Genomic DNA, 12,328 nt, shown 5'->3' on the forward strand with positions numbered 1-12,328 from the left:
GGCAAAGAGAAGGCCTGGAAAAGTGGAAGAAAGTGGGTAGGGGGAGGAGAAGCCATCAGGTACGGGGGTGGTGGGTAGTGGGGGGGACAAGTCCCTATTTATGTAAGCCATTTGTAGCTGCGAATTGTAAAACTGGGCAGGCTTCTCTGGAGTAATTCATAGTGTTTGGACAAGACAAACATTGTTCTGCTTTAAACAAACCTCCAGAAAGGTCAGCTTGGTTCATCCCTTTGCTGCGAGTCGCTGAGACTATCCAGATGATGAGAAAATCAGATCTTCGCTGAGGGGGCCCAGGCAGGAGGTGGTGGACTCCTGAGCCCTTTGGATGCTGAGCGAGGACACCCAGTGCAGGGAGGGGCCTTGGCTCTGTTGAAAAGGCTGGACTCCCAATCCGGAGCCAGGAGATGTGAGGTGTGTGTGTGCACATCACAGATTGTGAGATTTTGATGATGGCAAGGACATCATCCACATTCTAGGGCCAAGCCAACATGACGTGCAACATGAATCTTCTTTATGTGGAAGAAGAATTGATGGGAAATGAAGGTTCATGGATGCAGAACCAAATTAACCCAACTAATGCTATGCCCAGATATGGCCCTGGACACCAAGAAATCCATGTTCCTTGCATATGGATGCCCTGGTAGGGCCCTTCTGTGTTCATTTAGCAAACATTTTTGAGTGATCACAATGTGTCAAGTTTTGTGCTGGGTACTCAGGGTTACAGTAGGGAACAAGAAAGATATATTAGTAGCACCCACTCTTGGGGCCTATAGTTCTGGGTTATCCTCTCCTTCCCTGTCTTCCCTAAGAAGAGAAGCTGTTCACAATTTCACTTCCAGCTTCTCCACCGCCATCATGGCCTCACCAAGCCCCCTGGCCAAGACCCAGCATACCAGCTCCCTCCACGGGGCCTGACAGTAAGTGCTCAAGAAATGCTAGCCGCCATGGTTATAATTACGAGTACAATTGTGATTACGAGACTCCATTGTTTTCTTTTCTTTTCTTTTTTCTCTCTCTTTCTTTCTTTCTCTTTTTTCTTTCTTCCTTTCCTTTCTTTCCTTCCTTCTCTCTCTTCCCTTTCTTTCTTCCTTCCTTTTTCTTCCTTTCTTTCTCTCTGTTTCTTTTCTTTCTTTCCTTCCTTCCTTCTCTTTCTCTCTTTCTTTTCTTTCATCCCTTCCTTCCTTCTTTCTTTCTTTCCCTTCTTTTCCTTTCTTTCTTCCTTTTTTCTTTCTTTCTCTTTCTCTCTCTCTTTTCTTTCTTTCCTTCCTTCCTTGTCTTTCTCTCTTTCTCTCTTCTTTTCTTCTCTCTTTCTTTTTCTTTCTTCCCTTCCTTCCTTTCTTCCCTTCCTTCCTTCTCTTTCTTTCATTCATTCATTCTTTCTTTCTCTTTATCTTTCTTTCTTTTTTCTTTCTTCCTTCCCTCCCTCCCTTCCTTCCTTCCTTTCTTTTCTTTTATTTCTTTTCTTTCTTCCTTCCCTCCCTTCCTACCTTCCTTCCTTCCTTCTCCTTCCTTCCTTCCTTTCTTTCTTTTCTTTCTTCCTTCCCTCCCTTCCTTCCTTCCCTCCTTCTCCTTTCTTCCTTCCTTCCTTTCTTCCTTTCTTCCCTCCTTTCTTTCTTTCTTGCTTGCTTGCTTGCTTTTAGAGATGGGGTCTCCTTCTGTCACCCAGGCTGGAGTACAGTGGCATGATCATGCCTCATTGTAACCTCCAACTCCTGGGCTCAAGCTATCCTCCCACCTCAGCCTTCCAAGTAGCAGGGACCACAGGTGCAAGCCACAATGCCTGCAAATAATTTATTATTATTCTTATTATTTTTGTAGAGATAGGATTTTGCTGTGTTGTCCAGGCTGGTCTCAAACTCCTGGCCTCAAGTGTCCTCCCACCTCGGCTCCCCAAAGTACTGGAATGGCAGGTGTGAGCCAATGCACTTGACTTAGACTCTGTTCTTGAGTGATCTATCTGACCCTGAGCTGAAGTGGATACTTTGTATTGATATTTACTATTCATTCTCATTGTCTTATTATTAATGGCTTATTAACAATACATTATTGATGCTCATTAACACTAAAGCCCAGTGTCTCTGTGGTGCCAGTCATCACTGTCCTGTACATGATCTCTGTTTGCCCTGTAGTAAGCTTGGTGATGGCAGTATCACTGGATTTGCTGGTTCTAGGCAACTTTTTAATTTAAGTTAATTAATTAATTAGTTTATTTATTTATTTATTTTTGAGATGGAGTCCCACTCTGTCCCCCAGGCTGGAGTGCAGTGGTGCGATTTCAGCTCACTGCAACCTCGGCCTCCTGGGTTCAAGTGATTCTCCTGCCTCAGCCTCCCCCAGTAGCTGGGGTTACAGGCATGTGTCACCACGCCCAGCTGATATTTTTTGTATTTTCAGTAGAGACAGGGTTTCACCGTGTTGGCCAGGCTGGTCTCGAACTCCTGACCTCAAATGATTGGCCCACCTCAGCCTCCCAAAGTGCTGGGATTACAGGCATGAGCCACTGTGCACCCAGCAGTCTATGCAACTTTATGAAAATTGTTTAGGGCTTTGGACACTTTAGGGTCTTCTGCATATGGTTTTTTACTCAATACTCCTGATATCCATGGAAGGAAGAGAGGGCGGGAGAACAAGGAAGGAAGATTACTATCCACATTTTTCAGAAGAGGAAGTTGATACTTACAGAGGTGAAGTGATTTGCCCAGCATCACGGAGATGTTAACGGAGGGGACTATGTCTGACTAGGGTACAATCCAAACCCCAGCTCTACTAAAAATACAAAAATTAGCTGGGCATGGTGGTGGATGCCTGTAGTCCCAGCTACCTGGGAGGCTGAGGCAGGAGAATCACTTGAACCCAGGAGGCGGAGGTTGCAGTGAGCTGAGATCGCACCATTGCACTCCAGCCAGGGTGACAGAGTAAGACTCCATCTCAAAACAAGACAAAACAAAAACAAAACAAAACAAAAAAAGCTCTGTCTTGGGACTTTTGCACATGCCATTCCCTCTGCCTGAATGTACACTTCCCCCAAATAACATCTGTCCCCAGAGCTTCCTTCCTCACTTCACTCATTCTGCTCTACTGGGTCCTTCTTAGGGAGTCCTTCCCCAAGTACCTGCTTGAAATCCAAACAGTCCTCTTGGGCCTGCATCACCCTGCTGACCACCCATGGAGCTCCCTGCAAGCAGACCTGGAAACCAGCGCTCTCTGGGCGACCCCATAAAGCAGGTGCTTGGCCAGAGGCTAGGAAGTGGCTCCCTGGGCGAGGTCATGTCCTTCCCACCTTCTGCGTAGTTTCTGGCATTATTCTGGGGGCTGGCATGGTGATGCTCCTGCCTGATATCAGCATCCACAGGTGAGGGGGACATTCCTTCCTTCCCCACCAAATCTTAGTTTCCTTTGCCATCTTATTATGGTTGAATAATCCATGCACTTAACCATTCTGTTTGGAATCAATGATCCATGTCTGTTTTCATCCTTGGAGTTAAATCCTCTAAATTTTCTTTCTGTGTGATATATAAACCAGCAATACCTCATTTTACTGACATTTGGGGGAAATAAGCTGTTCTACATAATTGGTTTTTGCAGTTAACAGTAGCTTACTCCTTGAAGCATAGAAACTTTTTATGGAATCATATTTCATGAAAAACATTTTTCCATCAAAATCATGACTTTTTTCCCCCGCCTAAGTTAGCGGAATTGAATACAGCAGGTGTTCCCTAGGTGTGGCTGAATGAGTGGCCCCCAACCCGTTTTGATGACTCACAGCCATCTCTGGAAACAGCAGCTCCTGGGCAATTTGCTCAACCTCCCTGACGTCAGTTTCCTCACTCGTAATCTGGGGAACTTTGGATGAGATACTCTCTAAGGGCCGCCTCTGTCCTTCTCTAACTCTGCTGGGCTCTCATACAGTAAAGCCCTTGGGAATTTTTGGTGGTTGCAGGACCAGTCTTGCCTCCCTGAATGGTGGCTGGGATAGGATTCTACTGTCAGCTGTCACTTCTCAGTGCATCCATGTTCAGCAGTCACCATGTCCCCAAGGATCTTAAGCTGTGGCTCTCCAGTCCCCTGGAAGAACAGAAGATGTCTGACCTAAGGTTATAAAGTCTTGTAAATGAAGAACTCCTGGGGTCCCTGCAGACTGAAGTCCCCTGTGTCTTGGCTACTGTTCTCTCAAATGCCCAGGAGGCTATTCACTTACTTCTGGACTGTGATCTGGGTTGTAACGGGTGCTGCAACCGTGGCCTCTAGAGAAGAGGTTTACAATACCTTAATACAAACAGCAAGCACTTGGCAAGCTTCTGTTGACTGCTCTGAACTCAGTGTTGTGGGGAGGGAAGGAGCAGTGAGATGTGGTCACTTCCCGTAAGAAGAAAACCCAAAGGAAGACTTCATGAATGTTTTAAGACCAGCGTGTTAGTGGTCTCTCATTTTGTTCCTTTCATTTGCCCCAAGCATGTCTTTTAAGATTTGAAGAAGACTCTTAATTCTGGCATTTCTGAGATTTGCTGGGATATTAGTTTCCTGCGGCTGCTGTAACAAATTCCCACAAATGGTTGCTTAAAACAACAGAAATTTATTCTCTCACAGTTCTGGAGGCCAGAAGTCTGAAATTGGTATCAATGGGTTGCAATTAAGGGCTGTAGGGCAGCGGTCCTCAACCTTTTTGGGACCAAGGACCAGTTTTGTGGAAGACAGTTTTTCCATGGGCGTGGGGGTAGGGGATAGTTTTGGGATGATCCAAGCGCATTACATTTATTGTGCACTTTATTTCTATTATTATTACATGGTAATGTGTAATGAGATAATTATACAATTCACCATCATGTAGAATCAGTGTGAGGCTTCAGCTTGTTTTTTTGCAACTAGATGGTCCTATCTGGGGGTGATGGGAGACAGTGACAGATCATCAAGACTTAGGGCCTTATAAGGAATGTGCAGCCTAGATCCTTCTCATGTGCAGTTCTCAACAGCATTCTTGCTTCTGTGAGAATCTAACGCAGCTGAAGATCTGACAGGAGGCAGAGCTCAGGTGGTAATGCGAGCGATGGGGAGTGGTTGTAAATACAGACGAAGCTTAGCTGCCTTGCCCTTGCTCAAGCTGCTCATGTCCTGCTGTGTGGCCTCGTTCCTAACAGGCCACAGACTAGTGGTAGTTCCTGGTCTGGGGGTTAGGGACCCCCGCTGTAGGGAAGGATCCTTTCCTTGCCCTTCAGCTTCTCATGGCTGCTGGTATCCCTTGGCTTGTGGCTGCATGGCTCCAATCTCTGCCTCTGTCTCACGCAGCTTTATCCTCTTCTGTCTTGTCAGATTTCCCTCTGCCTGTCTCTTGTAAGGATAACTATGATTACATTTAGAGTCCATCCCGATATGCCATAACAATTTCTCCATCTCAAGACCCTTAATCACGTCAGCAAAGACCCTTTTACACCCATATAAGGTAACATTCACTGGTTCCAGGGATTACAGATATGGATATCTTTTGGGGGGGCATTTTTTTTGAGACGGAGCCTGGCTCTGTAGCCAGGCTGGAGTGCAGTGGCACGATCTCAGTTCACTGCAACCTCTGCCTCCCAGGTTCAAGTGATTCTCCTGCCTCAGCCTCCTGAGTAGTTGCGAATACAGGTGCGCACCACCATGCCCAGCTAATTTTTGTATTTTTGGTAGAGATGGGGTTTCACCATGTTGGCCAGGATGGTCTCGATCTCTTGACCTCGTGATCCACCCACCTCGGCCCCCCAGAGTGCTGAGATTACAGGTGTGAGACACTGCGCCTGGCCCTGGGGGGCTTTTTTAGCTCACCGCACAGAGCTGGTCACCACTTTAACTGTCCATAATTCTGTGGTCTTTAGTCAATTAATTTGTAGTGCACTCCTATTTTGTGCCAGGCAGTCTGTTAAACCCTGGGGATTCTGAGGGAAAAGAATAGTTCCTTCCTCAGACGCTATGAAAATCAGAGCTATGTGGAAAAGAAGGAATCTGGGCCTTAAAGGTATCTAAGATGGATCTTGATGAGCTCAAATTCCCCATCAAAGTCTGCAAGGCCCTGCTTGGTCTAGCTCTCAGCCTCCCCTCTGAGCTCATCCCTACCACTCCCCATCTCATTACTTAAACAAGCTCTGGGCCAGGCGCAGCAGCTCACGCCTGTAATCCCAGCACTTTGGGAGGCCGAGGTGGGTGGATCACCTGAGGTCAGGAGTTCGAGACCAGCCTGGCCAACATGGTAAAACCCATCTCTACTAAAAGTACAAAAATTAGCTGGGCGTGGTGGCGGATGCCTGTAGTCCCAGCTACTTGGGAGGCTGAGGCAGGAGAATCACTTGAACCCGGGAGGCGGAGGTTGCAGTGAGCTGAGATCGCACCACTGCACTCCAGCCAGGGTGACAGAGTAAGACTCCATCTCAAAACAAAACAAAACAAAAACAAAACAAAAAAAAAAAAACAAGCTCTGTCTTGGGACTTTTGCACGTGCCGTTCCCTCTGCCTGAATGTACCCTTCCCCCAAATAACATCTGTCCCCAGAGCTTCCTTCCTCACTTCACTCATTCTGCTCTACTGGATCCTTCTTAGGGAGTCCTTCCCCAAGTACCTGCTTAAAATCCACCTCCCCTCCTGGCACGTCCTGTTCCCTCCCCTGCTTTGTTTGTGCTTCTGATGTACCACAGTGGAGTTGCTATTGTCTGGGTCAGCTCAGCCACCACAAGGATGTTGAGATGTGATAACTAGAAGTTGTCAGAAGATCCTAAACGCATCCTGTTTCATTTCCAATTCTCTTCCTGAGAATGTAGTTTGCTTTTTATTTTCTTTTACTTTTCTTAGTAGCACATTGGGCTTAATTTCAAGTAAATCAGAATGGGGGTGGGATGGCTCTTTAAAGGGGGATGTATACATTCTAGGAGCCATTTTTTGGTTGTCATAATGACTGGTGTATGGTGTGTGTGTTGTGTGTGTCAGGGGTGGGTGGAACTTGCTGGCATTTAGTGGACAGGGGTCAGGGATGCTAAGTGTCCTGTGGTAGCCAGGTCTGTTCTGCCCAGGGAAGAATCTTCCTACCACAATGCCAATACCACCTCTACAGAGAAACACTCTTTTTTTCTTTTTTCTTTTTCTTTTTTTTTTTTTTTTTGAGACAGAGTTTCACTCTTGTCACCCAGGCTGGAGTGCAATGGTGCAATCTCGGCTCACTGCAACCTCCGCCTCCCAGGTTCAAGCGATTCTCCTGCCTCAGCCTCCCAAGTAGCTAGGATTACAGGCATGCGCCACCACACCCGGCTTATTTTGTATTTTTAGTAGAGATATGGTTTCTCCATGTTGGTCAGGCTGGTCTTGAACTCCCGACTTCAGGTGATCTGCCCTCCTCGGCCTCCCAAAGTGCTGGGATTACAGGTGTGAGCCACCTCGCCCGGCCAGTAATATTTTTCTATCATCTTCACTGATAACCTTTCATTCTCTAAGAGTATTTTAAATGATGTCTCCCAGATCCATCACCTGCTAACCTGTTCCCTGGCCCATTCACACAAGGTCTTGAGATTCTCCAGTTCATCCTCTTGCTGTTGCCATCAGTCCAGTGTCATCTCTAAACCTTGAGGTTTCACGAGGGGATTCCCTCCTTCAGAGTCTGTGTAACCGGTAAACAAGCTGAGCCCCAACTCTGGCTCAGAGGCCCCCCACTATTTTCTCCATCTGGAGCAACATCCTTTTCTTTGCACCCTTTGTTCCTTCCTCAAGGCCTGTCTTCCATCCATGACAAAGCCTCCCTACACAGTGACCCATTTTCTTTATTTTAATAGCATTTGGGGTGGAACCTTGTCAAAAGCTTTTTGCAAATGAAAATAAATTACATCTGCTGGTTCCCCCATCCACAGGCATTTTCACCCCTTCAAAGAGCCCTGGTAGATTAAAGGATTTGGAGGATTTGGGGTTTGTATGGGCTTCTATGCCCAGCTCCTGAGTTCTCAGCCAAGACACCTGCAAAGGGGGAGGCCTGAGCTGAAGATACAGATAAACGACGTTGGGGAAATGGATATCTCCAGGAACGCTTCCCACTAGATTGGCCTGCTCCCCATGTTCTAAAGCCTTTTCCAGGACAGTCACATCTCCTGAAATCCTGTCCAGGGACCTGGGATTCCCTGAGTAATCCTCCATGCAGCCTATCAGGTGAGCTGGGCTCTAGATGCCTTGAAATGAAAGACTGTCCCTCGTACTTCTAGGGTAAGAGATCTGGTAGGCAGACCTGAGAATTATACATATGAAAAAAAGCAAAAACAAAACAACTCAAAACCTACTATACATTGAACATCCATCTACTCTCTGCCAGGGTCTTTCCTTTCAGATCCAAGTTTTAAAATCGCCGACCAACCCTATAAAGGTGAATGCAGTGACCCCATTTCACCATGAAAAAAATGGATGCTCAGATGGGCAAGCAACTTGCCCAGAGTCACACCATTAGGAAGTGGCACACTGGAACCAAGGCCTGTCCAAGTCAAGTTCTTTCAATCTGGGAAGGAAACACTATGAATCCAGGCCACTGCTCACCCTCCTGGAGAGGCCAAATCCTCCTGGTCACCTCTGCCTGCTGCAATTCCCAGGCTGTACTACTGGGAGTACTGGGAACTGAGTCATCTAGGGTCTGTCCTCTTAACTGGACCAGAGGTGTTAAGAAGCACAGTCCATCCAGACCACACAGCTCATACTCTTGGTAGACCAGAAGCCCATCCTTCCTCTCAGGGATGATTGAGACCCAGTCAAGCCCATCTTACCCACAGGTTCTGACTAAGAGCTCCAAACTCTGGACCTAGATTATTTTAGTTCACACACTGCTTCTCTACCTACCAGTGATGTGATCTTCAGCAAATTATTTCTCTGTGTCTCAGTTTCCTCCTCCAGTAAAATGGACACAATAATATACCTATCTTACATGGTGTTTATGAAGATTGTGAACTAAGGAATATCAAAGTGCTTAGTAGATGCTTGGCACACAGTAAATGTTACACATAATGCTTGATTTAAAAAGGAAAACTCAGCCAGGCACGGTGGCTCATGCCTGTAATCCTAGCACTTTGGGAGGCCGAGGCAGGTGGATCACTTGAGGTCCGGAGTTCAAGACCAACCTGGCCAATATGGTGAAACCCCATCTCTACTAAAAATATAAATATTAGATGGGTGTGGTGGCGGGTGCCTGTCATCCCAGCTACTTGGGAGGCTGAGGCAGGAGAATTGCTTGAACCCAGGAGGCAGAGGCTGCAATGAGCCAAGATCGTGCCACTGCACTCCAGCCTGGGCATCAGAGTGAGACTCTGTCTCAAATAATAATAATAATAAATACAATTAAAAAATTAAAAGGAAAACCCTTGGTCACACCCAAGACAAAGGCACCCCCGGCCACCCCTTTTCTCCTAAGCCTTTGTTCTCTTCTTGTCCTCCCTCCTCACAAACATTAGCCTGTGCCATCTGGTGCCCCCGTTCCTGGAGTGTACCCTCCCCTGTATCCTCGTCCTCCTCACTGATTGCTCCTCCCACCCTCATGCTCATCCCAGTTGCACTGCAGTCCTTCTCAGAGGTGCTGTCCTTCTTCCAAACCACACATCCCTAAGACCCAGGAGTGGGGCGCTGTTGTCCTCCTCCATTCCCAATGCTCCTTCCCTCTTCATTAAAACAACAACAAAACAAAACAAAACTCCGGGCCGAGCGTGGTGGCTCACACCTGTAATCCCAGCACTTTGGGAGGCCAAGGCGGGCGAATCACCTGAGGTCAGAAGCTCGAGACCAGCCTGGCCAACATAATGAAACCCTGTCTCTACTAAAAATACAAAAAAAATTAGCCAGGCATGGTGGTGGGCGCCTGTAATCCCAGCTACTTGGGAGGCTGAGGCAGGAGAATTGCTTGAACCCAGGAGGCGGAGGTTGCAGTGAGCCGAGATAGTGCCATTGCACTCCAGCCTGGGCGACAAGAGCAAAATTTATCTAAAAAAAAAAGCAAAAACAAAAAAACCCCCACAAAACTCCTGTTCCTTTAAGGCCAGAACCACACGGCTGTCCCACCTTCTACATCTCATCCTTAGAATGACCTCCCAGTCAATTTCACTCTTTTCTTTCTTTGAAGACACCAGCACTGGTCAGTCTTCGTCTCTGCCCCAAACTCTGATGCTGGTTCCAAAGGTCTTTAGAGCCCAGGTGGACAGCCCGTCCAGCACCGTGGCCGTCTCGTCTCTAATCACCCTCCATTCTGCCTCACAGCAGAAGTCCCCCTCTTATTGTCCTCGGAAGGCCTTGTCATCCCCCAGAGCTGTTCCACCTCTGGAATCCTCTAGTTTTGGACCACAACCTCCTCAGTTATTCCCCACCTCATAGTCTTCTCTTTTCTTGAATCCTTTAGCTATCCAACAGAATTTCCTGTGATAAGGGAATTTTTCTTTATTGGTGCTGTCCAAATTAGGGGCAACTAGGCAACTAAGCTCTCCATGTTACTCATTTTTAATTAATTCAAGTTGAAATTGAAGTAGCTACATGTGGTGACTGGCTACCATATTGAACAGCACAGCTCTAGCCCCTGGCCTCTCTGTTTCCTCTTCCATCCTGTCCTGTTTTCCTTCTTTCTTTGGCATTGTCGCCCTGGCCCATCATATCAGCCACCCACTCCCCTTTCCTTCTGTCCCACCTCCTGGAAAACACTCTCAACTTGAGATTAATCCAACTGTCTCTTTCTCTAGGTCTATCCAAAGGCTGCTGGGCGCTGCTGGGGAAGAGGGCATGTGTGTCTCATGGCCTTGCTGGCTGCCATTCTTTCTCATAGATAGTCACAAACTTCAATAGGCCCTTTAATTCTGCCCAGCAAGCATTATCCTCTTCTCTCTAATGACCTCAAGCCTCCAGTGCTCCCAGCTCCTCCCCCATCCTCAGCAGATGGTGTCACTTCCTATTTCATTGAAACAAGAGACACTTGGAGACCACCTGACCACCAGTTTTACAAGCATAGTTTTATCTGTCTTCCACCTCTCTCCTCCTGCTGGCTCCAGTTCCTATCAACATTTAGGCATGGTCAAATAGCCTTATCTTACAAACAACAATAAAAAATCCCAACCTTCCCTCAATCCTATGTCACCTTCCTGCTGTGACCCTCTATCTTTCCTGCCACTTATATTCACACTTTCTTGAAAGTTGTCTACACCTGCTATTTCCACTTTCTCACCTCCCGTTCACTCCACAACCCCAGACAGCCTGGCTTCTGTCCCTACCACTCCCTGCAACCACTAGTCAAGGTCACCAATGACTTCCTTGTAGTTTGATCCAAAGGACTTGTTTCAGATCTTATCTTGACCTTTAAGGCATGTGACTCAACACTGCTCAGCACCCCTCCTTCCTTGCAACGCTCTTACCCATTGGTTTCTATAACACCCGAGTCCCCTGGTTTTCCTCCTCCTCCTCTGGCTACTTAAAAGTTTTCTTGAAACTGCCGCATTCTCCCCCTCCTAGGGTGATCCGTCTGGCTTCACAGGTAAGACAGTGTGCCAGGAACGGTGTTTCCGCCTCTCAACGCATTCCTTGCAGAAACACCTGGTGATTTGCTTTCTCACCCAAAATCTGCACTGTTGCGTTTTGAACTCCAGTTTGCTCTGTGGATCCCGCTGCTTAGAGCCTGACATGCCTTCACGGGTGTGTATTTATCACCGCCACTTTAAGAACTTCTCACGACACTTGGACATCTGTTTTTTTCATTTGTCCCCTCAACAGACAGGCTGCGTTAGGAAAGGACACTGATGAATTAGAAGGGATGGAAGAGGCTGCAGAGTGGTCAGAAAACAATGTCCTATGGGAAATCATTAAGATAACTGGGAACATTTTGCCCAGAAGAGATAAAACTGAGGGATGATAGAGGACTGGTTTCAAGAATCTGAAGAGGCAGAGAACCTTGATCTGGGCTGCTGTGTAGCGTAGGGTTTGGGCCACCTGCAGACTTAACAGAGAGGGGGGTTTGGAATGGACGTAGAGGAGTTCCACCGTATTACAGGAGGTTCTAGACCTCCTGGATACAAGGTGAGTAAGACAGTCCTGCTCACCAGGAACTACTAAAGATGATAAGCGTAGACCTAAGTGACCACAATAAAACTGGAAGGTGACCCCGCTCATCCTCTCCTGAAGACCCCTGGCCTAAGCTCAGCTGGCAATGTAGAAAAGCCACACTCTACCAAGAGCCATTTCAAACTTACTGCCATGCAAGGGCCATCAAAAGCTCTGTGGACATAGGCTGGGCGCGGTGGCTCACTCCTGTAATCCCAGCACTTTGGGAGGCCGAGGCGGGCAGATCACTTGAGGTCAGGAGTTTGAGACCAGT

The 12,328-nt window shown here is 47.2% G+C and overlaps 1 protein-coding gene across 1 annotated transcript in view, besides 1 other annotated feature; it reads left to right on the plus strand.

Annotated features, from left to right (window-relative positions):
* The window catches only part of NTN1 (netrin 1), a 240,914-nt gene that overhangs the window by 3,024 nt on the left and 225,562 nt on the right, over window positions 1–12,328 (plus strand). The window lies entirely within an intron of this gene.
* Window positions 10,947–10,996: an enhancer, noted in NCBI's record as "active region_11722". NCBI's record gives its function as "activates an Ori minimal core promoter by ATAC-STARR-seq in GM12878 lymphoblastoid cells {active_cell/tissue: GM12878}" and the evidence as "EXISTENCE:reporter gene assay evidence [ECO:0000049][PMID:35858748]".

This window comes from Homo sapiens, chromosome 17, assembly GCF_000001405.40.
Source record: "Homo sapiens chromosome 17, GRCh38.p14 Primary Assembly".
Classification (NCBI taxonomy): Eukaryota; Metazoa; Chordata; class Mammalia; order Primates; family Hominidae; genus Homo; species Homo sapiens.